The sequence below is a fragment of the Homo sapiens genome, chromosome 13 (assembly GCF_000001405.40).
Source record: "Homo sapiens chromosome 13, GRCh38.p14 Primary Assembly".
Classification (NCBI taxonomy): Eukaryota; Metazoa; Chordata; class Mammalia; order Primates; family Hominidae; genus Homo; species Homo sapiens.
Window position 1 is genome coordinate 67,685,961 of NC_000013.11, and position 23,225 is coordinate 67,709,185.

Consider the following 23,225-nt stretch of genomic DNA (forward strand, 5'->3'; position numbering starts at 1 on the left):
CTCGTGGTGCGCCGTTTTTTAAGCCCGTCGGAAAAGCGCAGTATTCAGGTGGGAGTGACCAGATTTTCCAGGTGCCGGCCGTCACCCCTTTCTTTGACTCGGAAAGGGAACTCCCTGACCCCTTGCGCTTCCCAAGTGAGGCAATGCCTCGCCCTGCTTCCGCTCGCGCACGGTGCGCACACCCACTGACCTGCGCCCACTGTCTGGCACTTCCTAGTGAGATGAACCCGGTACCTCAGATGGAAATGCAGAAATCACCGTCTTCTGCATCGCTCACGCTGGGAGCTGTAGACTGGAGCTGTTCCTATTCGGCCATCTTGGCTCCCCCATAATGAAGGTAAATCTTACATCTTAGGGCAGTGTAATAATTGGATGTGTGTTTAAATTAAATGGTTATGTGCCTTTTCCCGGAGCTTATCATTTGGGAAGATAATACAAGTGTACATTTTATTTATTTATCTTTAACAAATTTGTGCTTGTTACCAGTGAAGAAACCAGTTAATATTAACTTTCTAATCCTATACTGGTTATCTGATCTAGTAAGCTACATAAATCATCACATAACATGGAAGATTATGACAGACATTCTAAATCTATACTGGTTATCTGATCAAGTGGACTACATAAGCTATCACATACTATCAAATGTTATGACAAAGTTAAATTTATTATGTTTATTAGAATAATAATTACAACAAAAATTTTTATAGTGATAGATTGTTTTTCTCTATTAGCTTAGATTGTTCTTGTCTTTGTAAATTTAAACAATTTCCAAGAGCTTTAGGTAACTTAAAAATTTTGCATTATTAAATTGAGTTAATTAATAAATAATGTTGCATATCTGCATACATTCTTAGTAAGACTGAATAATGAAAATTTATTGTAATGCATAGATTTAAATTTTTATACTTTTGCTTCATTTTATATGGTGCAGAATGGTGGTTTTATCTTTGAGTCACATTAATGAATCACTTAAAAAAAGGTGTAAAAGATGTGTGGCTATAGACAGTTGTGTTAAGTGTATTTTTATATTTTGCTAATCTTCTAAAATATTTGATTAAGACACACTTCACAGCTTTCTCTCTCCCATTTTTTCCTGGGAAATAAAAGTTAGTGACTTTGATGGAAAGTTATTTATTTGAGTGGTTTAGAGTATACCCAGAGTACTAGTGACAAGAAATAGAACCATGCATGACAGATAATAAAAAAAATTACTGTTTTTCAAGCGTAGAGTAAATAATTTTGTGGAAAAGTGTATATTTAGGTTGTCTCAGAATATATGAGTATAAAGAAAGACAAAACTTGAGGAAGAATAACAGATTATAAAAGATTTTAGAAGAGTGGATATTATTTGCCTTAATTTATATGATTTGTATTAGTTTTCTATTGGTGCTGTAACAAATTACCACAAAATTTGTGACTTAAAGAATCCCAAATTTATTATCTTACAATTCTGTAATCAGAGCTCCAAATTGGGTCTCACTGGGCTAAAACAAAGGAGCCAGCAGGGAAGCATGCCTTCAGAAGGTTCTAGGAATAACCTCATTCATTTAACTTGTATTTCTCAGCTTACAGAAGCTACCCCCGATCCCTTCACTCATGCGCCCATTGCAGCCAGCAACCACCTCACTCTGACCTCTGCTTCCATATTCACATCTTCTTCTCTGACTTGCTTTTTTCCTCGTAAAGACCCTTGGGATTGCATTGGGCCTAACTGGATAATCCAGGATGCTCTCCGCATCTGAAATTTCATAATTAAACCGAAAAGTCTTTATTACCATGTGTTGTAACATATTCACAGGTTTAGGGATTAGAACGTGGAAATTCTTCTATTACAAGACCTAGGTCTGAAAATAAACTATGAAATGTGTTACAATTGTGCAAATTTGTAATTATATCAAGTTTCTAGTTATGTTAGTTACCATTGATGCATAAGAAATTACCACAAGCTAGCAGTTAAAAATAAGCTACGTTTGGCCAAGCTGTGGCTCACGCCTGTAATCCCAACACTTTGGGAGGCCGAGGCGGGCGGATCCCGAGGTCAGGAGATCGAGACCAGCCTGGCTAACACGGTGAAACCCCGTCTCTACTAAAAATACAAAAAATTAGCCAGACGTGGTGGCGGGCGCCTGTAGTCCCAGCTACTCCGGAGGCTGAGGCAGGAAAATAGTGTGAACCTGGGAGGCAGAGCTAGTAGTGAGCCCAGATCCTGCCACTGCACTCCAGCCTGGGGACAGAGCGAGACTCCGTCTCAAAAAAAAAAAAAAAATACATTTATTATTTCATATGTTCTGTGGCTAGGAGCCATGGGCATGGAATAAATGAGTCTGTTGCTTTATGGTCTCTCCCAAGCCTGAAATCAAGATGTTGACAAGGTCAGTGGTCTCACATGAAGGCTTAATGTGGGAAGGGTCTACTTTCAATCTTACATAGTTGTGGGTGGAGTTAAATTCCTAGAGGTCTGTTTGTCATCGGCCTCAGTCTCTAACTGGCTGTTCACTAGAGGCTGCACTCAGTTTCTTGCCATGTGGGCCTGTGCACCACAATTGCTTGCTTTATCAATGCATGGAAGCTGAGAAGGCAATGGTGAATAATCTAGCTTGAATGAAGTCACGATCTTCTAACACATAAATGATAGCCTCTCAACATTGCTGTATCTTGTCTTAAAAGTAAGCTACTTAAGGATAAGACTTTCCACATTGTTATGAATGCCAAGAGGCAGGAATTAATGATAATAATTTTAAAACCTGCCTGCAACAATAACATTTTCTTCTACTGTTAGCCCCTTCAGTGTATTTTTCATCTCAGATCTTGTATTTTTAATTTCTATGAGTTCAATTTGGGTATTTTTCTATGTTCCCATATCTTTCTGAACATGCTCATGCTTCCTGCTAACTTATTGAACATATGAAGTATACATGTATTAGCTAATCAATACCTATGTCTATTAACTGTATCATAAGTATCATATCTGAGTCTCTTTCTTTTGACTAATTTTTTTTTTTTATCATGGGTCATGTTTTTCCATTTCTTTTCATACCTGGGCAGTAGATGATGAGCATTCTGAACTCTCTATTGTTGAGTGCAGATTTGTGATATTGTATTTCTTCAAATGATTTTGAACTTTGTGCTTAGATGCAGTTATTTGTCTTGGAAATAGTTTCATACTTTCAAGGGAAGCTTTTAAGCTTTAAAGTGGAACCAGAGCAAACTTTAAATTAGGGCTAATTTGTCCCTACTATTGAGTATTCTTCTCAAGTGCTGTATATTATGAAGTTTAACAATAGAGCAGTTGGGAAACTGGATGTCTATCCCTACCTCTTTATGAACTCCAGAAATTGTTTTGTCTTCTCCCTTTCTGTGTGTTTTTCCCATCCTTATACTCATAGTCTAATAATCACTGAGAAGACTTCAGGGACATCCTCTGCATGTCTTCAGAGCTCTCTGTGCAGCTCTCCTCTCTTCAATACTTGGCATTGCGATACTGGTTGGCTTCATCCTTTTGAATACTCAACTTCATCTCTCCAAGACAGGGAGACCACAGGGCTCAACCTGAATTGTACTTTGCTGAGCCTGGAAACTCATTGGTGGAACATGCAGGAGTTACCTTGTTTTTCTTTTACTCAGAGATCAATGTCCTTAGCTGCCAATTGTTTATATCCTAAAAGCTTTTTTGAAACTTTTTGTCTGGACTTACAATTGTTTAATATGGGAAGGTAAGTTCTGTACTTTAATTTATAAGACTTATATTAGTTTTCTATTGTTGATGTAACAAATTACCACAAATATTTTCTATCTTGGCTAGAGGTGAAATTTTGGAATATTGTTTTCATTATTTTTAATGTTTTATTTTAAGTTAGTATACAAAGCTCTTTCTGTCTTTTCAACCACTTTCTAACACACAGTTTAGCAGATTATTCTTTTTTAAGCTGAAATAAATTATTTAAAATTAATATGTAATTTTTACTATCTCCTTAAAGATAAAAACATAATTTTGCTGAGGTTTTTTATTGGTAATCCCTTATTTGCATAGATGAAATATGACTGTTTCTTTCATCTTATTAGGATATAATTGATCAAATCAATAGTTCATCCAAGGCCATAATTGGAGTGTTAAATTTGAGAAAAATATTGTTTAATCAGGTATTCAAGCTCATATTAAGAGATAGATATCAATTTTATATATTTGGAGACAAACTCCATAAATCTAAAATTAACTTGTTACCTGGATTACAAAGTGAGTCTCACAGGTGATAAGAAATTCACTGTCTAGCAAGTTGAGGACCTTAAAAAAACTTGAAGAATCTCAATTTGAGACAAATTTATACAAATATATAATTTGGAAATCTGAAAGAGTGTCATGGGCTTGCTTCCCAGCCCCAGAAGTCTTAGAATAAGTCAGTGTTTGGGAGCCAATCTGTGATTTCCTTTGAACTTATACACAGAGAGTAAACATTTGGCAGTATTAGTTGTCAAAACTGTTTGAGTCTAATTTGCAGAACAAATTCAAGAAGGCATATTAAGTTCAGTAACACTGTTGCTTTATCTATGATAATAATCAAGCCAAATCTAATAAGACCAGCTTTTTATGTGATCAAGAATAATCTTTGGAGATTGTGACCATAAGAGAGAAAACTGTCAAAACAAAAATGTTCACAGCTTGGATACAGGTAAACGAGTTTACTGTGTATTTTTCAGTGCAGTACTGGCCTTATTTTCTGAGTGATTTTCAACCTTCCACAGGTAGTGCTTAACCTGTAGAATTCTGTCTGGTTGAGATGTAATATCTGTCTGTCCAGTAAAAGAGATAACCAAAGTATTATTTTTTTTAAAAAATTTTTATTTATTTTTTAACTCTTTATTTCCATAGGTTTTAGGGGAACAGGTGGTATCTGTTTACATGAATAAGTTCTTTAGTGGTGATTTGTGAGATTTTGGTGCACCCATCTCCTGAGCAGTATATTATGGTTTATAGCCTCATTGACATTAGCCAGTTTCACATTTAATTCAGCAACCTATCAAATGCTGTGTTTACCTCTAGCTTTATTTTTATATATACTCTCAAATGTTCTTTAAACTATTCATAACATGCTACTGGTTCCATCATTAAGTAGTGAGTCACATATAAACTTTGACAAATGTTAATTTTATATTTGAATGAGAGTCATAATTTCTAACCTTTTGAAAATCACACTTTAAGAAATCCTGTTAGAAAAATTTTATTATTATCCTGGTTTCAAAGTTAAATACATTGATGTATTGTCAGGCTTTGCAACTAGCTCAGGCTCACATATTTCTGATTAGATTGGGTAGGGTTCTAATAAAGATATCTGGTTCTATAGGATGTACCCTTAGCATTCTATATGTCTATTTTTCTGTTTTTATGCTGCTGATAAAGACATACCTGAGACCAGGAAGAAAAAGAGGTTTAATTATGCTTACAGTACTACATGGCTGAGGAGGCTTCAGAATCATGGTGTGAGGCAAAAGGCACTTCTTACATGGTTGTGGCAAGAGAAAATGAGGAAGAAGCAAAAGCAGGAACCCCTGATAAACCCATCAGATCTTGTGAGACTTATTTATTATCATGAGAATGGCACAGGAAAGACCAGATACCATGATTCAATTACCTCCTCCTGGGTCTCTCCCACAACACGTGGGAATTCTGGAAGATACAATTCAAGTTGAGATTTGGGTGGGGACACAACCCAATCAAATAATTCTGCCCCGGCCCTTCCAAATTTCACATCCTCACATTTCAAAACCAATTGTGTTTCCTCAACATTCCCCCAAACTCTTAACTCATTTCAGCATTAACCCAAAAGTCCATAGTCCAAAGTCTCATCTGAGACAAGGCAAGTCCCTTCCACCTATGAAGCCTGTAAAATGAAAAGCAAGCTAGTTACCTCCTAGATACAATGGGGATACAGGTATTGGGTAAATACAGCCATTCCGAATGGAAGAAATTGGCCAAAACAAAGGGGTTACAGGACCATGCAAGTCTGAAATCTATCAGGACAGTTAAATTTTAAAGCTCCAAAATGATCTCCTTTGACACCAGGTCTTACATCTGGTCATGCTAAAGCAAGAGGTGGGTTCCCATGGTCTTGGGCAACTCTGCCTCTCTGGCTTTGCAGGGTACAGCCTCCCTCTTGGCTGCTTTTATGGGCTAGCATTGAGTGTCTGCAGCTTTTTCAGGAGCACAGTGCAAGCTGTCAGGAGATCTACCATTCTGGGGTCTGGAGGCTGGTGGCCCTCTTCTCGCAGCTCCACTAGGCAGTGCCCCAGTAGAAACTCTCTCTGGGGGCTCTGACCCCACATTTCTCTTCCACACTGCCCCAGCAGAGGTTCTCCATGAGGGCCTTGTCCCTGCAGCCAACCTTTGCCTGGGATTCCAGGTATTTCTATACATCTTCTGAAATCTAGGCTGAGGTTCCCAAGCTTCAATTCTTGACCTCTGTGCACCACAGGCTCAACACCACATGGAAGCTGCCAAGGCTTGGGGCTTTCACCCTCTAAATCCACAGCCTGAGCTGTATGTTTGCCCCTTTCAGCCATGGCTGGAGCAGCTATGACACAGGGCACCAAGTCCCTAGGCTACACACAGCATGGGGACCCTGGGCCCAGCCCACAAAACCACTTTTTCCCCCCTGGGCCTCTGGACCTGCGGTGGGAGGGGCTGCCATGAAGGTCTCTGACATTTCCTGGCGATATTTCTCCTATGGTCTTGAGGATTCACATTAGACTCCTTGCTACTTATAAAATTTCTGCAGCCAGCTTGAATTTCTCCCCAGAAAAAGGGTTTTTCTTTTCTATCATGTAGTCAGGCTGCAAATTTTTCAAACTTTTATGCTCTTCCTCCCTTATAAAATGGAATGACTTTAACAGTACCCAAGTCACCTCATGAATGCTTTACTGCTTAGAAATTTCTTCAGTCAGATATCCTAAATCATCTTTCTCAAGTTCAAAGTTCCATAAATCTCTAGGGCAGAGGCAAAATGCTGCCAGTCTGTTTGCTAAAACATAACAAGGGTCACCTTTCCTCCAGTTCACAACAAGTTTCTCACCTCCAACTGACACCACCTTAACCTGGACCCTATTGTCCATATCACTGTCAGCATTTTGGGCAAAGCCATTCATCAAGTCTCTAGGAAGTTCCAAACTTTTCCACATTTTCCTGGGTTCTTCTGAGCCCTCCAAATTGTTTCAACCTCTGCCTATTACCCAATTCCAAAGTCGCTTCCACATTTTTGGGTATCTCTTCATGAATGCCTCACTCTACTGGTACCAATTTACTGTATTAGTGCATTTTCATGCTGCTGATGAAGACATACCTGAGACTGGGAAGAAAAAGAGGTTTAATTGGACTTACATTTCCACATGGCTGAGGAGCCCTCAGAATCATGGCGGGAGGTAAAAGGCACTTCTTATGTGGTGGCAGCAAGAGAAAATGAGGAAGAAGCAAGAGCAGAAACCCCTGATAAAACCGTCAGATCTTGTGAGACTTATTCACTATCATGCGAATAGCACAGGAAAGACTGGCCCTCATGATTCAATTACCTCCCACGGGGTCTCTCCCACAACACGTGGGAATTCTGGGAGATACAATTCAAGTTGAGATTTGAGTGGGGACACAGCCAAACCATATCAATATGAATCAACAGTCACTTCAGAACACAGAACACATTTCATAATACTATCCTAATGAAAAAAATTGGGATTAAAAAACTGGCATGTTTGCCAAATTTTCACCCTGCACATGGTTATAATATGCTAGACTGTCAAGGACATTTTTAAGCTTAGTTTCTAATGTGATTCTGAGAGTATTTTGCAAGAGAAATTATAAAAGCACAGGTCACATTTGATGATTGAGTTTGGTACTTGACCTTACACCAGATTCTTTAAATATTTTTTACTACGAAGTCCTCTTCAAATCAAACATATTGTTTTTTTAAATAACTTAATAAAATTTATCAGTTGGCTTGAACATGTCTTTCTGCTACAACCAACAGGATTTGAGCATTTTTGCTATCTGAATAAGCATGAATCTTATACAGACAATATTAATTATATCAAACAAAAAAGTCACAATTGGCATGACTTTGAACGCAGAACCATTTTAATTATCAAACAAAATATTCACAGAAGACACAGAAAGAAAAAACTATCATGGTGGTTCCACAGAAATATAAAGGTAATATATTTAAAATCAAACATTGTAAGTTTCTTCAGAGGAATACTTCACTAAGTAATAATACATTTCTTTTAACAAAATTAATATTGTTAAACTACTTAAATGAGTTATTTTCCATTAGGAGGGCATATAACACTAGTATTTAAAACTAAATTTTGTAACAAGAGGTATAAAAATTTGAATAAAATTGTCTTTTTATTTTATTTAAGTATACTCCTCTGTTTAGTATCCTATAGATGAGGCCACAATTATGAGTCCCCAATTTTACATTTTTTTAAATCAAATTGCTTTTTCCAAAAATACTGATGGAGTTTTACAACTCTGACAGCACCCATACAACCGTTATTGCAAAAAAAAAAAAAAATAGTGAATGCATATAACGTTGACTTGCTGAATGCACTCTGAAGTAATAGTAACTTCTGAATGGCCTCTGCAGTATATTTCTTATGTGAAGTGAATGGGATATAGACTGTTCTTGTACTACATCACAGGAATTAGTTTCTTGGGATTAGCATAATGCAATTTTCTCAATTCTCCTTTCCACTTTAATGTTTCTATGTGCCTGTTTGTTTATAAGAAAGTACCATCATTCACTCCAATTCATTAAGGAAATGCCTAAGCAGCATAGTTCTGTATAATTTTGAGCATCGTTTTAAAAATTGTGCATGAGAAAACTGGATCTGTGCAGTTTTTTATTCAGCTTTAACATTTTCCATTGAGACGTACACTAGATTTACTTCAATGCTGATTATGCCAAAATATGATCAAACTGCTATAAAAGTGTGTAAAAGCAGCTACACTTTTCATTAAATGGGTTCATTTTGATATGAATATTGTTTGTTATGGGATAATAGGGAAGATGTTTTGCTATTTCTATTATGGAAAAATTATATCCAACTGCTATCTAGCATTTCATTGCAAAATATAGCTAAAAGTGAGAATATACTTCACCAACTGGAGTGCAAACTAAGCCTGGATATTTTTATCAATTGTAGATCATAAAGCACCAAAGTGCAATGCATTCTTTTGACTTTTCAGAATATCACTCTGCATTAATCACTTATCTGGACCACTTCTGAACATTCACTTTTTACACAGCACTTATCTTTGATTCTGTATGTGTCATTTAATTAGCTTTATTTTCTATTGGGTTTTATATAGCCAATCTAATCTTGCATAAAACTATCTCAGTTAGATCTTAAGACAGTCCAAATATCTGTACATTCTGTGTCTGAGACTACACACATTTTCAGAGAAATGATCATTTAAATTCAGCTATTGGATTGTCAGTAGATTCATGCTAACTACTCCAAAAAGTGGTGGAAAATCTGAAAAAAAAATTTTTCAATTAAGTTCAAATTATATTGTTAACACTACTTGCTATACTTTTACTCTGATATTTCTGATGATTGCTAATCAATATCCAACTATAAATTCAGCTTTAAACAAATTAAAGAACAACTTGTTTTTTTGTCTCTCCTTGCCTCTGGTTTTAAATATTCTATCGGAATTTGCTGTCTCTTTAATGATCTTCTGCTAACCTTGAATAACCAACTCCACATTAGCTCATCCATGTTACCAGTTGATTGTACATGTTTCTGTGTATATGCATGTTGCATGCGCTGAAGCCATTTATTCAAAAACGTTTATTACATACATTCTATGAAAAATACCTGGTCTTTATCTCTAATGAATGAACCATCAAGAATAAAAAGAGTTTGTGTATATGTGATATGAATGTACACATAAAAATACAAAGAACACAACTATAGAAGATGATATTATGCATGATATAAATTCATTTACTTAAAAAATTTTTAGCATCTATTTTTTAAGAGACTTCTAAACTTGGGGGTTAGAAAGACAAACAATTCTCAAAGCACACAGGAGTCATTTACTCTTGATTGAAAAAACTTATAGAGATGTTAATGGCATTTGAATTAATTCCAGAAGATAAAGTAAGATTTTTCCAGAAAATAAAATGATAAGACAAAAATTCAGGCAAATGGAAAGATATAAGCAGTACAAAAAAATGGAAAAGGCATAGTAACCTGAATTTTGATAGGTTACAGAAATAATAATACGTAAAAGAGTTGCAAAAGAATTGTGTGGGATTCACAGTCAAATCATTATTGCCAGAATAACATTTTCAAAGGAGCACAAGAAAGCAAGGACATTTTAAATTATTAGTGCATGAATCACAGAATGGAGGTGGAGAAAAGAGAAAGTTAGATTTTGCTAAAGAGTAAAGACAGCAGGCTTATTCCAAGGAGTATAAATGGGTGTAGGAAGGGCTAAGTATCGAAAAAGAAATAGAACTAAATAGTGAAACAAGTTGTGGAAAGCTCATGTAATTTATAAGATATATGGTCATATTTCTTACATAAAAGGAGGCCCAACAATTCAAAGAGAAAGAAAAAACAAATGTTGAAACATAATCAGTAAATAAAAATAAATAATAAAATATGACTATGTTCAATATTATCAGTAAATGCAAGTTAAATTATAAAATATGAAGAACGGCAAAGCAAAAGAGTTGAATACAAAGCCGCACCATTCGTCCCCGGTAGGAACACCATATTTAACAACTATCTACACACAAATAAAGCACCTTCACGAGAACCAAAAATCAGGTGAGCACTTACATTACCTGGTTTTAACTGCATATTGTCGAAAGAGGCACTAATGAAGGTAGAAAAGACAGTCTTAAATTGCTGATGTCATCCACCTCCCATTGCCTGGCAGCAGCCCGAGAAAGAATCTATGCACTTGGAAGAGGGAAAGCACAGCAATTGTGAGACATTGTATTGAACTCAGTGATTCCCTGTCACAACAGAAAGCAAAACTGTGCTGAACTCCGTTAAAGCCAGTCCATGGAGTATTTAAATCAGCCATAGCCAGAGGGGAACTGTCCATCCCAGCAGTTGTAATTTGAGTTCTGATAAGCCTCACCACCACAGTCTAGAGTGATTGGGGGCCCCAAATAAACTTGAAAGGCAGTTTAGGCCATAAGGATAGCAGCTTGTAGGTGAGTCCTCGTGCTGAATTGGCCTCAGAGCCAGTGGACTTGAAGGGCATGGGACCTACTGAGACACCAGCTGAGGTAGCTAAGGCAGTGCTTGTGTCACCCCTTTCCCAAACCCAGGCTCCAATAAAATACCCTTTCCTTCCACATGATAAGAGAAAAGGGAGAGCACATTGTCTTGTGACTTGGATACCAGCTCACCCAAAGTAGGTCAGGGCACCAGTCAAAGTCATGAGGCCCCTTTCCCAGGCCCAAGCTCCTGGAAGACATTTCTAGAAACACCCTGGGCTGGAAGGGAATCCGCTGCCTTGATGGGAAGGATAAAGTCCTGAAAGGATCTATCACATGCTGACAAAGGAGACCTTGGCCTCTGAATAACCAGCAGCAACAAATAGAAGAAAGAACTTCAGAGCTTGAAGACAAGGTTTTCAAATTAATCAAATTCAATAAACACAAAGAAAAAAGAATTTAAAAAAAATAAACAAAGCCTCCAAGAAGTTTGGGATTATGTTAAACAACCAAATATAAAAATAACTGAGCTGTGTGGGGTGGCTCATGCCTGTAATCCCAGCACTTTGGGAGGCTGAGGCAGGTGGATCACGAGGTCAGGAGATCAAGACCATCCTGGCTAACACAGTGAAACCCCGTCTCTACTAAAAATACAAAAAAATTAGCCAGGCGTGGTGGCGGGTGCCTGTAGTCCCAGCTGCTTGGGAGGCTGAGGCAGGAGAATGGCATGAACCTGGGAGGCAGAGCTCTCAGTGAGCCGAGATCATGCCACTGCGCTCCAGCCTGGGCAACAGAGCGAGACTCTGTCTCAAAAAAAAAAAAAAAATTGGGGTTCCCAAGGAAGAAGAGAAATCTAAACATTTGGAAAACATATTTGAGGGAATAATTGAGGAAAGCTTCCCTGGCCTTGCTAGAGATCTAGACATCCACATACAAGAACTCAAAGAACACCTGGGAAATGTATTGCAAAAAGATCATCACCTAGGCACATAGACATCAGGTTATCTAAAGTCAAGACAAAAGAAAGAATTTTAGGAGCTATGAGGCAAAAGCATCAGGTAACCTAGAAAGGAAAACAGCAGATTTCTTAGCAGAAACCCTACAAGCTCTATGGGATTGGGGTCCTAGCTGTAGCATCCTTAAACGAAACAATTATCTGCCAAGAATTTTCTATCCAGTAAAACTAAGCTTCATAAATGAAGAAAAGATACAGTGTTTTTCATACAAACAAATGCTTAGAGAATTTGCCCCTACCAAGCCAGCACTACAAGAACTGCTAAAAGGAGCTCTAAATATTTAAACAAATCCTCAAAATACACCAAAATAGAACCTCCTTAAAGCATAAATCTCACAGGACCTATAAAACAATAACATGATGAAAAAAAAACAAAAAAAAAAAAACATAGCCTGATGAATAGAATATTACTTCACATCACTGAATGTAAATGGCCTAAATGCTCCACTTAAAAGATACAGAATGGAAGAATGGACAAAAATTCACCAAGCAAGTATCTGCTGTCTTCAAGACATGCACCTAAAACATAAGGACTCTCATAAACTTAAGGTAAAGGGGTGGAAAAAGATGTTTTATGCAAATGAATACCAAAATCGAGCAGAAGTAGCTATTCTTATATCAGACAAAACAAACTTTAAAGAAACAGCAGTTAAAAAAGACTAAGAGGGACATTATGTAATGATAAAAAGACTTGTCCAACAGGAAAATACCAAAATCCTAAATATATATGCATCTAACACTGGAACTCCCAAATATATAAAACAATTATTACTAGACCTAAGAAATGAGACAGACAGCAACACAATGGACTTCAATACTCCACTGACAGCACTAGACAGGTCATCAAGACAGAAAATCAACAAAGAAACAATGGACTTAAACTATACCATAAAACAATTGGACTTAACATATATTTACAGAACATTCTACCAAACAGCAGCAGAATATACGTTCTATTCATGAACACATAGAACATTCTCCAAGATAGACTATATGATAGGCCACAAAACAAGTCTCAATACATTTTTTAAAAATGGAAATTATATCAAGTACCCTCTCAGGCTACAGTGGGATAAAATTGGAAATCAGCTCTAAAAAGAACCCCCCAAATCATGCAAATACCTGAAAATTAAATAACCTGCTCATGAACAATTATTGAGTCAACAATGAAATCAAGATGGAAATTAAATCTTCTTTGAACTGAACAATAATAGTGACACAACCTATCGAAACCTCTGGGACACAGCAAAGACAATGTTAAGAGGAAAGTTCACAGCATTAAATATCTACATCAAAAAGCCTGAAAGGGCACAGAAAGAAAATCTAAGGTCACATTTCATGGAACTAGAGAAATAAGAACAAACTAAACCCAAACCCAGCAGAAGAAAATAAATAACAAAGATCAGAGCAGAACTAAATGAAATTGAAACAAAAAAAAAATACAAAAGATAAATTAAACAAAGAGGTGGCTTTTTGAAAAGATAAACAAAATCAATAACCATTAGTGAGATTAATCAAGAAAAGAAGAGAGAAGATTCAAATAATCTCAACTAGAAACAAAACAGGAGATATTACAACCGATACCATAAAAAAGTCAAAGATCATTCAAGCCTACTACGAACACCTTTATACACATAAATAAGAAAACCTAGAGAAGATGCATAAATGTTTGCAAATATACAACCCTCCTAGATAAAACCAGGAATAAATAGAAACTCTGAACAGACCAATAGCAAGTAGAAAGATTGAGATGGTAATACAAAAAATGCCAACAACAAAAAATAGTTCAGGACCAGATGGATTCACAGCTGAATTCTATCAGACATTCAAAGAATAAGTCATATCAATCCTACTGACACTAATCCAAAAGAGAGAAAAAGAGGGAATCTCCCTAAGTCATTCTATGAAGCCAGTATCACCCTAATACCCAAACCAGGAAAGGACATAACAACAACAACAACAACAAAAACTACAAACTAATATCCCTGATGAACATAGGTGCAAAAATCCTCAACAAAATACTAGCGAACTTAATTCAACAACATCTCACAAAGATAATCTACCATGATCAAGTCAATTTCATACCAGGGATGCAGGGATGGCTTAATGTACATAAGTCAATAAATGTGATACACCACATAAACAAAATTATAAACAAAAATCGCATGATCATCTCAATAGATTCAGAGAAAGCATTAGACACAATCCAGCAAAAATTTGTGATTAAAATCCTCAGCAAAATCAGCATAGAAGGGACATACCTTAAGGTAATAAAAGCCATCTATGACAAACCCACGGTCAACATTGTACTGAATGGGGAAATTTTGAAAGCATTTCCCCTGATAATTGGATCAAGAAAAGGATGCCCACTTTCACTACTTCTGCTCAACATAATACTGGAAGTCATAGCCAGAGCAGTCAGACAAGAGAAAGAAATAAATGGCATCCAAATCGGTAAAGAGAAAGCCAAACTGTCGCTGTTTGCTGACAATATGGTCATATATCTAGAAACCATAAAGACTCTTCCAAAAAGCGCCTTGAACTGATAAATGAATTCAGCAAAGTTTTAGAATACAAAATTAATGTACACAAATCAACAACACTGCTATACGCCAAGAATGGCCAAACTGAGAATCAAATCAAGAATGCAACCCCTTTTATGATAGCTGCAAAAATAAAATAAAATAAAATAAAATACTTAGAAATATACCTAACCAAGAAGGTGAAAGAATTCTAGAATTAAAACTACAAAACACTGTTGAAAGAAATTATAGATGACACAAACAAATGGCAACACATCCATATTCATGGATCGGTAGAAACTATTGTGAACATAACCATCCTGCCAAAAGCAATCTACAAATTAAATGTAATTTCCATCAAAATACTATCATCATTATTGACAGGACTAGCAAAAACAATCCTAAAATTTTGACAGGACTAGCAAAAAAGAACCTGCATAGCCAAAGCAAGACTAAACAAAATGAACAAACCTGGAGGCATTACATTACAGACTTCAAACTACACTATAAGGCCATAGTCACCAAAATAACATGGTTCTGGCATAAAAATAGAGCACATAGACCAATTAAAGAGAATAGAGAAGCCAGAAATAAAGCCAAATACTTAGAGCCAACTGATCTTTAACAAAGAAAGCCCAGCAATCCCATTACTGTGTATATACCCAAAGGATTATAAATCATTCTACTATAAAGACACATGCACACGTGTGTTTATTGCAGCACTGTTCACAATAGTAAAGACTTGGAACCAACCCAAATGCCTACCAATGATAGACTGGATAAAGAAAATGTGGCACATATACACCATGGAATACTATGCAGCCATAAAACAAAGCAAACTAAAACATAATGTGGGGAAAGGACACTCTACTCAACAAATGGTGCTGGGATAATTGGCAAGCCACATGTAGAAGAAGGAAACTGGACTCTCACCTTATACAAAAATCAACTTGAGATGAATCAAATACTTAAATCTAAGACCTGAAACTATAAAAATTCTAGAAGATAACATCAGAAAAACCCTTGTAGATATTGGCTTAGGCAAAGACTTCATTACCAAGAACCCAAAAGCAAATGCAACAAAAACAAAGATAAATAGATGGGACTTAATTAAACTAAAAATCTTCTGCAACCCAAAGAGTGAGAGAAAATCTTCCTAATCTATACACCTGACAAAGAACTAATATCCAGAATCTACAACGAACTCAAACAAATCAGCAAAAAAAAAAAAAAATCCAATCTCATCAAAAAGTGGACTAACGACATGAAGAGACAATTCTCATAAGAAGATAATAAATGGCCGTAAAACATATGGAAAAATGCTCAGCATCACTAATGATCAGAAAAATGCAAGTCAAAACCGCAATTCAATACCACCTTACCACCTTACTCCTGCAAGAATGGCCATAATCAGAAAATAGTGGATGTTGGCATGGATCTGGTGAAAAGGAAACATCTTTACACTGCTGGTGTGAATGTAAGCTAATACAACCACTATGACAAACAGTGTGGAGATTCCTTAAATGACTAAAAGCAGATCTGCCATTTGATCTGGCAATCCTACTACTGGGTGTCTATTCAGAGGAAAATAAGTCATTACATGAAAAAGATACTTTTACATGCATGTTTATAGCAGCACAATTTGAAACTGCAAAAATATGGGACAAGCCCAAATGCGCATCAACCTACAAGTGGATAAAGAAAATGTGGTCTATATATATCATGGAATACTACTCAGACACACACACACACACACACACACACACACACACAAACACATACACACAGAGTAATGGCATTTGCAGAAACCTGGATGGATTTGGAGACCATTATTCTAAGTAAAGTAACTTGGAAATGGAAAACCAAACATCATATATTTTCTCTCATAGCAGAAGCTAAACTATGCAGATGAAAAGGCATAAGAATAATACAATGGACTTTGGGGACTCAGGGGAAAGGGTGGGAGAGGGATGACGGATAAAAGACTATACACTGGGTACAGTGTACACTGCTCAGGTGATGGGTGCAACAAAATCCCAGAAATCACCACTAAAGTAGTTATTCATGTAACCAAACACCAACTGTTCCCCCAAAACCTATTAAAATAAAAAAAAATTAAAAAATAAAGAAAGACCAAAAAACAAAGAGAAAGAAATAGAAGTGATGTTGAATTCTGTCTCATTCTAATAGTAAGTGATATTTATTTAAAAATACATAACCTAATCGGAACCAAAGCCTACTCATTTTAGTAATAAATACATTTGCCACAATATTTTAAAATTAATAAATATAATTATTTGGAATTTACAAACAAAAAATGTCTCCCAGAAACAAGCCTGGGACCCAATGGCTTCACTGCTGAATTCCACCAAATGTTTAAAAACAAACTAATAATGGCTACTCAAGCCATTCTGAAAAATAAAGGACACACTTTCAAACACGGTCTACAAAGTAAGTATTATCCTGATACCAAAACCAGAGTAAGACATAAAAAAATTATAGGTCAATATTACTGATAAATATTGATACAAAATTCCTAAACAAAACATTAGCAAACTTAATTCAACAATACATTAAAAAGATAATTTATCATGACCAAGTACCATTTATCTCAGGGATGCTAAGATGGTTCAAATCAATCAATGTGATGCCTCACATCAACAGTATGAAAGATAAAAACCATATGATCATGTCAATTCATGCTGAAAAGGCATTTGGTAAAATTCTACATCTCTTCATGATAAAAACCCTCAAAAACTGAGTATAGAAGGAACATACCACAACAAAATAAAAGCTATACATGACAGACTCATAGCTAGCTTTACACACAGTGGGGAAATATGGAAGGGCTTTCCTCTAAGATCTGGAGTATGACAAGGATGCCCACTGTCACCACTGTTATTCAACATAGTAGTGGAAGTCCTAGAAAGAGCATTCACACTAAAGAAAAAAATAAAAGGCATCCTAACTGAAAAGAAGAAAGTCAAATTATTTTTGTTTGCAGATAATATTATCTTATATTTGGAGAAACCTAAAGATTCCACCAAAAAATGATGAGAATTGATAAACAAAGTCAGTAAAGTTGTAGGATACAAAAATCAACATATGAAAGTCAGTAGCATTTCTATATGCTAGCAGAAAACAATCTGAAAAAGAAATCAAGAAAGTAATTCCATTTACAATAGGCAATAGGAACAAATAAACAAAATACATAGGAATTAAGGAAAGAAGCGAATGATCTCTACAATGAAAACTAAAACATCAGTACGAAAAGTTGAAGTGGTCAACAAAAAAAGAAAACAAAATGTATTCCATGTTCATGAATTCAAAGAATCAATATTGTTAAAATATCCATACTACCCAAAACAATCTACAGATTTAATGTTATTTCTATCAAAATACCGGGAGCATTGCTTACTTAACTAGAAAAAACAATTCTAAAGTTTATATGGAATCAGAAAAGGCCCAGAATAACCAAAGCTATCCTAAGCAAAAAGCACAAAACTGGAAGTTTCACATTACCTGACTTTATACTACAGAGCTATAGTAACCAAAAGAGCATGGTACTGGCATAAAAACAGTCACATAGATAGTGGAATAGCATACAGAACAAAAAGATAAATCCATACATGCCCAGTGACCTAGTGATCTCATTTTGACAAAGGTGCTAAGAACATACACTGGGGAGAGACAGACTGTTCAAGAAATATTTCTGGGAAAACTGGATATCCATAAGCCAATGAATAAAACTGGACTCCTATTTCTTGCCATATAGAAAAATCATATTCACATGTATTAAAGACTTAAATTGAAGACCTCAAACTATAAAACTACTACAAGAAAACATTGGGAAAATGCTCCAGGACATCAGTCTGGGCAAATATTTTATTCAGCAATACCCCACAAGCATAGGCAACCAAAGCATAAATGAACAAATGGAATCACATCAAATTAAAAAGCTTCTGCACAGCAGAGGAAACAATCAACAAAGTCAAGAGACAACTCATAGAATGAGAGAGAAATATTGTCAAACTACCCATCTGAGAAGGGATTAATATCCAGAATATATAAGGAGTTCAAACAACTCTATAAGAAAACATCTAATAATCTGATAAAAAATGGGCCAAATATCTGAATAGTCATTTCTCAAAAGAAGATATTTCAAATGGCAAACACACATAAGAAAAGTTGCTCAATATCATTGATCATCAGAGAAATGAAAATCAAATCAAAACTACAATGAGATATTATCTCACCCCAGTTACAATGGCTTATACTCAAAAGACAGGAAATAACAAATGTTGGCAAGGATATGGAGAAAAGGCAACCTCTGTATGCTGTTGGTGGGAATGTAAATTAGTACAACTACTCTGGAGAGCAGTTTGAAGATTCCTCAAAAACTAAAAATAGAGCTATGATATCATCCAGCAAATCCCACTGCTGGGTATATACCCAAAATAAAGAAAATCAGTATATTAAAGAGATATTTGCACTCCCATGTTTGTTGCAGCACAATTCATAATAAGGGAGATTTGGAAGCAATCTAAATGTGCATCAACAGATGAATGGATAAAGAAAAATCTGGTACACATATGCAATGGAGTACTATTCAGCCATAAGAAAGAATGAGTTCTAGTCATTTGCAACAACGTGAGTGGAATTGGTGATCATTATGTTAAGTGCAGTAAGCCAGAAACAGAAAGACAAACTTTGCATGCTCTCACTTATTTTGGGGAGCTAAAAGTCAAAACAATTGAATTCATAGGGATAGAGAGTAGAAGGATGGTTACCAGAGGCTGGGAAGCGTGGTGGAGGTTGGGGGAAAAGTGGGGATGGTGAAGGAGTACAAAAAATATTAGGAAATAATAAATAAGACCTAGTATTTACTAGCACAAGAGGCTGACTGTAGTCAAAAATAATTTAATTATATATTACAATTAAAAGGGTATAATAGGATTGTTTGTAACACAAAGAATACATGCTTGAAGTGAATACCCCATTTACCTTGTTGTGATTATTTCACATTGCATGCCTGTATCGAAATATCTCATGTAAGCCATAAACATATACATCTAATATGCTACCAGAAATTTTAAAAAAACTTAAAAAAAATCTTTATCATTAAATGTTTATATATTTGAGAATATTTGAATATACATATAACTATATCTGCTAAAAATATGGTACAATAATACATTTTAATGGCTTTTTCGGAAGGCAACTCAGAATTAAATATTTTTGACCTTAAAATGTTCCTACCCTTTATGTAAGTAATTATGGTTACATGACAATAACTTTAATAAGCAATCAGATTTACCTATACACTTAAGTCAAGTACTTATACACTATGATATTTATTAAGCATCATTCATTTTTACAGGGAAACTGGAAAATAAAAATAAATATCTTAAGGACATGATAATAGTTAAATATGGTATACCTATTTATGGGACTATTATATAGAATAAACTATTGTATCATATTTTAAATATTTTATAACTTTTTTATTTGCATGACCACATGTGAAATATAAGAAAAGCAGGATACAAAAATGTAAACACAGCATTATTTTAAACTAAGTATATATGTATTATATTAGTTTATACCACATTATATATTTATTCCAAGTTGCCCCTGCTGAGGACAATGGTTTATAGAAGCCACGATCCAACATAAACCCAGCTCTTGCAGACACCACAGTCCTATGCTATACACTTATGTTAAAAGTGGTTATTTATAATTTAGAACATGCCATGTTTGGTGTTCTGTTCCTGTGTTAATTTACTGAGGATAATGATTTTCAGCTCTATCCATGTCCTTGCAAAGGACATGATCTTGTTCCTTTTTACAGCTGCATAGTATTCTGTGGGGAGCTGAACCATATGAACCCATAGACAGGGAGTGAAACAACACACTGGGACCTGTCAGAAGTGGGTGAGGGGAGGGAAAGCATCAGGAAAAATAGCTAGTGCATGCTGGGCTTAATACCTAGGTAATGGGTTGAGTTGATAGGTGCAGCAAATCACCATGGCACATGTTTACCTATGTAACAAACTTGCACATCCTACACATGTACTCTGGAACTTAATTTTTTTAAAAAATAAATAAAAAATTAAAAATAGATAAAATTGAATTTTAAAAAGAGGTTATTCATTGGTGATAGGATTATGTGTAATATTCACTTCTTCTATATTGATGGACTTTCTTAATTTTATAAATGTAGTATATACTATTTCTAAAGAAACAATCATTTTTAAGGTAAACATAGAAAACATGTCAGAGAGCACTGTTGCAGTTGGATTTTTGCTTCAGTAATAAGTAATGCAGGATACTGGAAAACAGACAGGGAGAAACTAATGGAAATAGCCTTGGATTTGTTGATGAAACTTCACCATGGAACACCATTTCATGTTACCTCTCTAAAGTTGTCCTTCCAATTGACTAGTAACTTGTAGCTTGGGCTATTTTGTATGAGAAAGCTGGGTTTATGATGGACTCTAGCTTCTTTAAATCATCATCCCCAGTCAGGGCAGGTAGGAATTAATACATAAAAAAGCATAAACTGATATAAAAGAATACTGGCAATGTAGAATTTTACTTGAGCCTTGTGATTCTGGAAAACAGCAAAGGTTAATAACGTTCTCCCTATTTCACTACTCCTCATCCCTCTATTGAAATAGATTTTTCCCCACTCTTGGAATAATCCTTTCAAATAATGTCTTTTACTAAGTTTTGGTTGGGTTTGTTTTCTGTGTGATGACAAGATTGAAAAATAGTTGTTACTCAAGGAGTTAGCTACAAATTGTTATATTTATTCTTTTCAGCTATCTAATTTCAACATTTGTCACAAAACATTAATTTATCCTTAAATATGCTTTACTTAAAGCTTTTGAAATTTGGTTAAAACAATAACTGACAAACAATCACTACTTTATGTTTTCAAATTTATTCTAATACATACATTGTTTTAAAAATTAACTAGAGAAAGTAAAAAAATTAGCAAATTGATTTACCACTTAAATTTCCATCATAAAGTTAAAATACAAGTTAGTATTTGACATAGTTTGGCTGTGTCCCCACCCAAATCTCATACTGAATTTTAGTCACCATAATCCCCACACATCAGCGGAGGGACCCGGTGGAGATAATTGAATCATGGGGGCGATTTCCCCCATCCTGTTCTCATGATAGTGAGTTAGTTCTCACTAGATCTGATAATTCTATAAAGGGCAGTTCCTCTGCACACACTCTCTTGCTTGCCGCCATATAAGCTGTGCCTTTGCTTCTCCTTTACCTTCTGCCATGATTGTGAGGCCTCCCTGGCCATGTGGAACTGTGAGTCCATTAAACTTCTTTTACTTTATAAATTACCTAGTATCAGGCATGTCTTTATTAGCAGCATGAGAATGAACTAATACAGTATTTTATAAAGTTTGCTTTATATTCCATGGATATATGAGAAAGTAAGGAAAAACTTTAACTCTATATTGGCAAATGTTTTGATGTAAATTTTTTATTTCTTAAGATATTTTGGAATATTTAAAATTTAGAAGTTGTGTCACATTCATTTGACTTTTGCCCAGATTATATACATATATATACACACACCACATATATATATATACACACACACATATACACACATACACACACACACATATATATATGGATATATATATATATCCATATATATATATATATGGAAGGGAATGTGCTATAGGGAATTTTAAAAATGAATTACACATGACGCCTGTCTTGGAGGAGCTGATACAATGTTGGGAGACATAAACTTACTTAAACCTCTCATTATAATGGAAAGAGGAACAAGTAAATATACTACTAAATAATAGGTGTTTTGAGGCCAGTAAGAACAAATTTACTTATGAGAAAACTAAATGTTAAAGCTAGCTCACAAAATGTTATCTCTCTAAGACTAAGTCTCCTCATCTGTACAATGGGTAAAATAAGACAGTGAAAGTGAGGTATGAGGCACCTAATAGAGTGTGGCCCCACATTGTTACAATGTGATAGGTATACTATTGGAATACTAAAATAAAATGCTATAGGGCACAGTGGAAAATGCAATTAATTTTGTCTGAGAAAGCTTAATAAAGAGATTATATTAAATCTGAACCATGAAGGTTCAGATGAATATAAAATCACCAGACAAGAAAAGGGAGGAAGAGCAACACATAAATAGTGCTGTTAAAGCACTTGTCAGACTTAAGAATACAGATATGGCAGAGAAAGGTGGAAGGCTATGGGAAGGTGAAGCCAGTGGAAAGGTGTGCTGAACCAGGAGGTGAAGTGTCTATTATGACATAGCTGGGCCTTCTTGTGTGTTGAAAATGGGAATTCACCTTATGTTAGAAGGCACATTCTGTACTTTAGAAATGTAACCTTACTAACTTGGGAGTAGGTAGACTGAAGGAGAGAAAGGATAGAATAGATATTAGGGGT

At 35.4% G+C, this 23,225-nt stretch overlaps 1 annotated feature.

Annotated features, from left to right (window-relative positions):
- Positions 10,809 to 11,310: an enhancer, noted in NCBI's record as "H3K27ac hESC enhancer chr13:68270901-68271402 (GRCh37/hg19 assembly coordinates)". NCBI's record gives its function as "activates a minimal SCP1, AML or CMV promoter by ChIP-STARR-seq in naive H9 embryonic stem cells {active_cell/tissue: H9 hESC(naive)}" and the evidence as "EXISTENCE:reporter gene assay evidence [ECO:0000049][PMID:30033119]".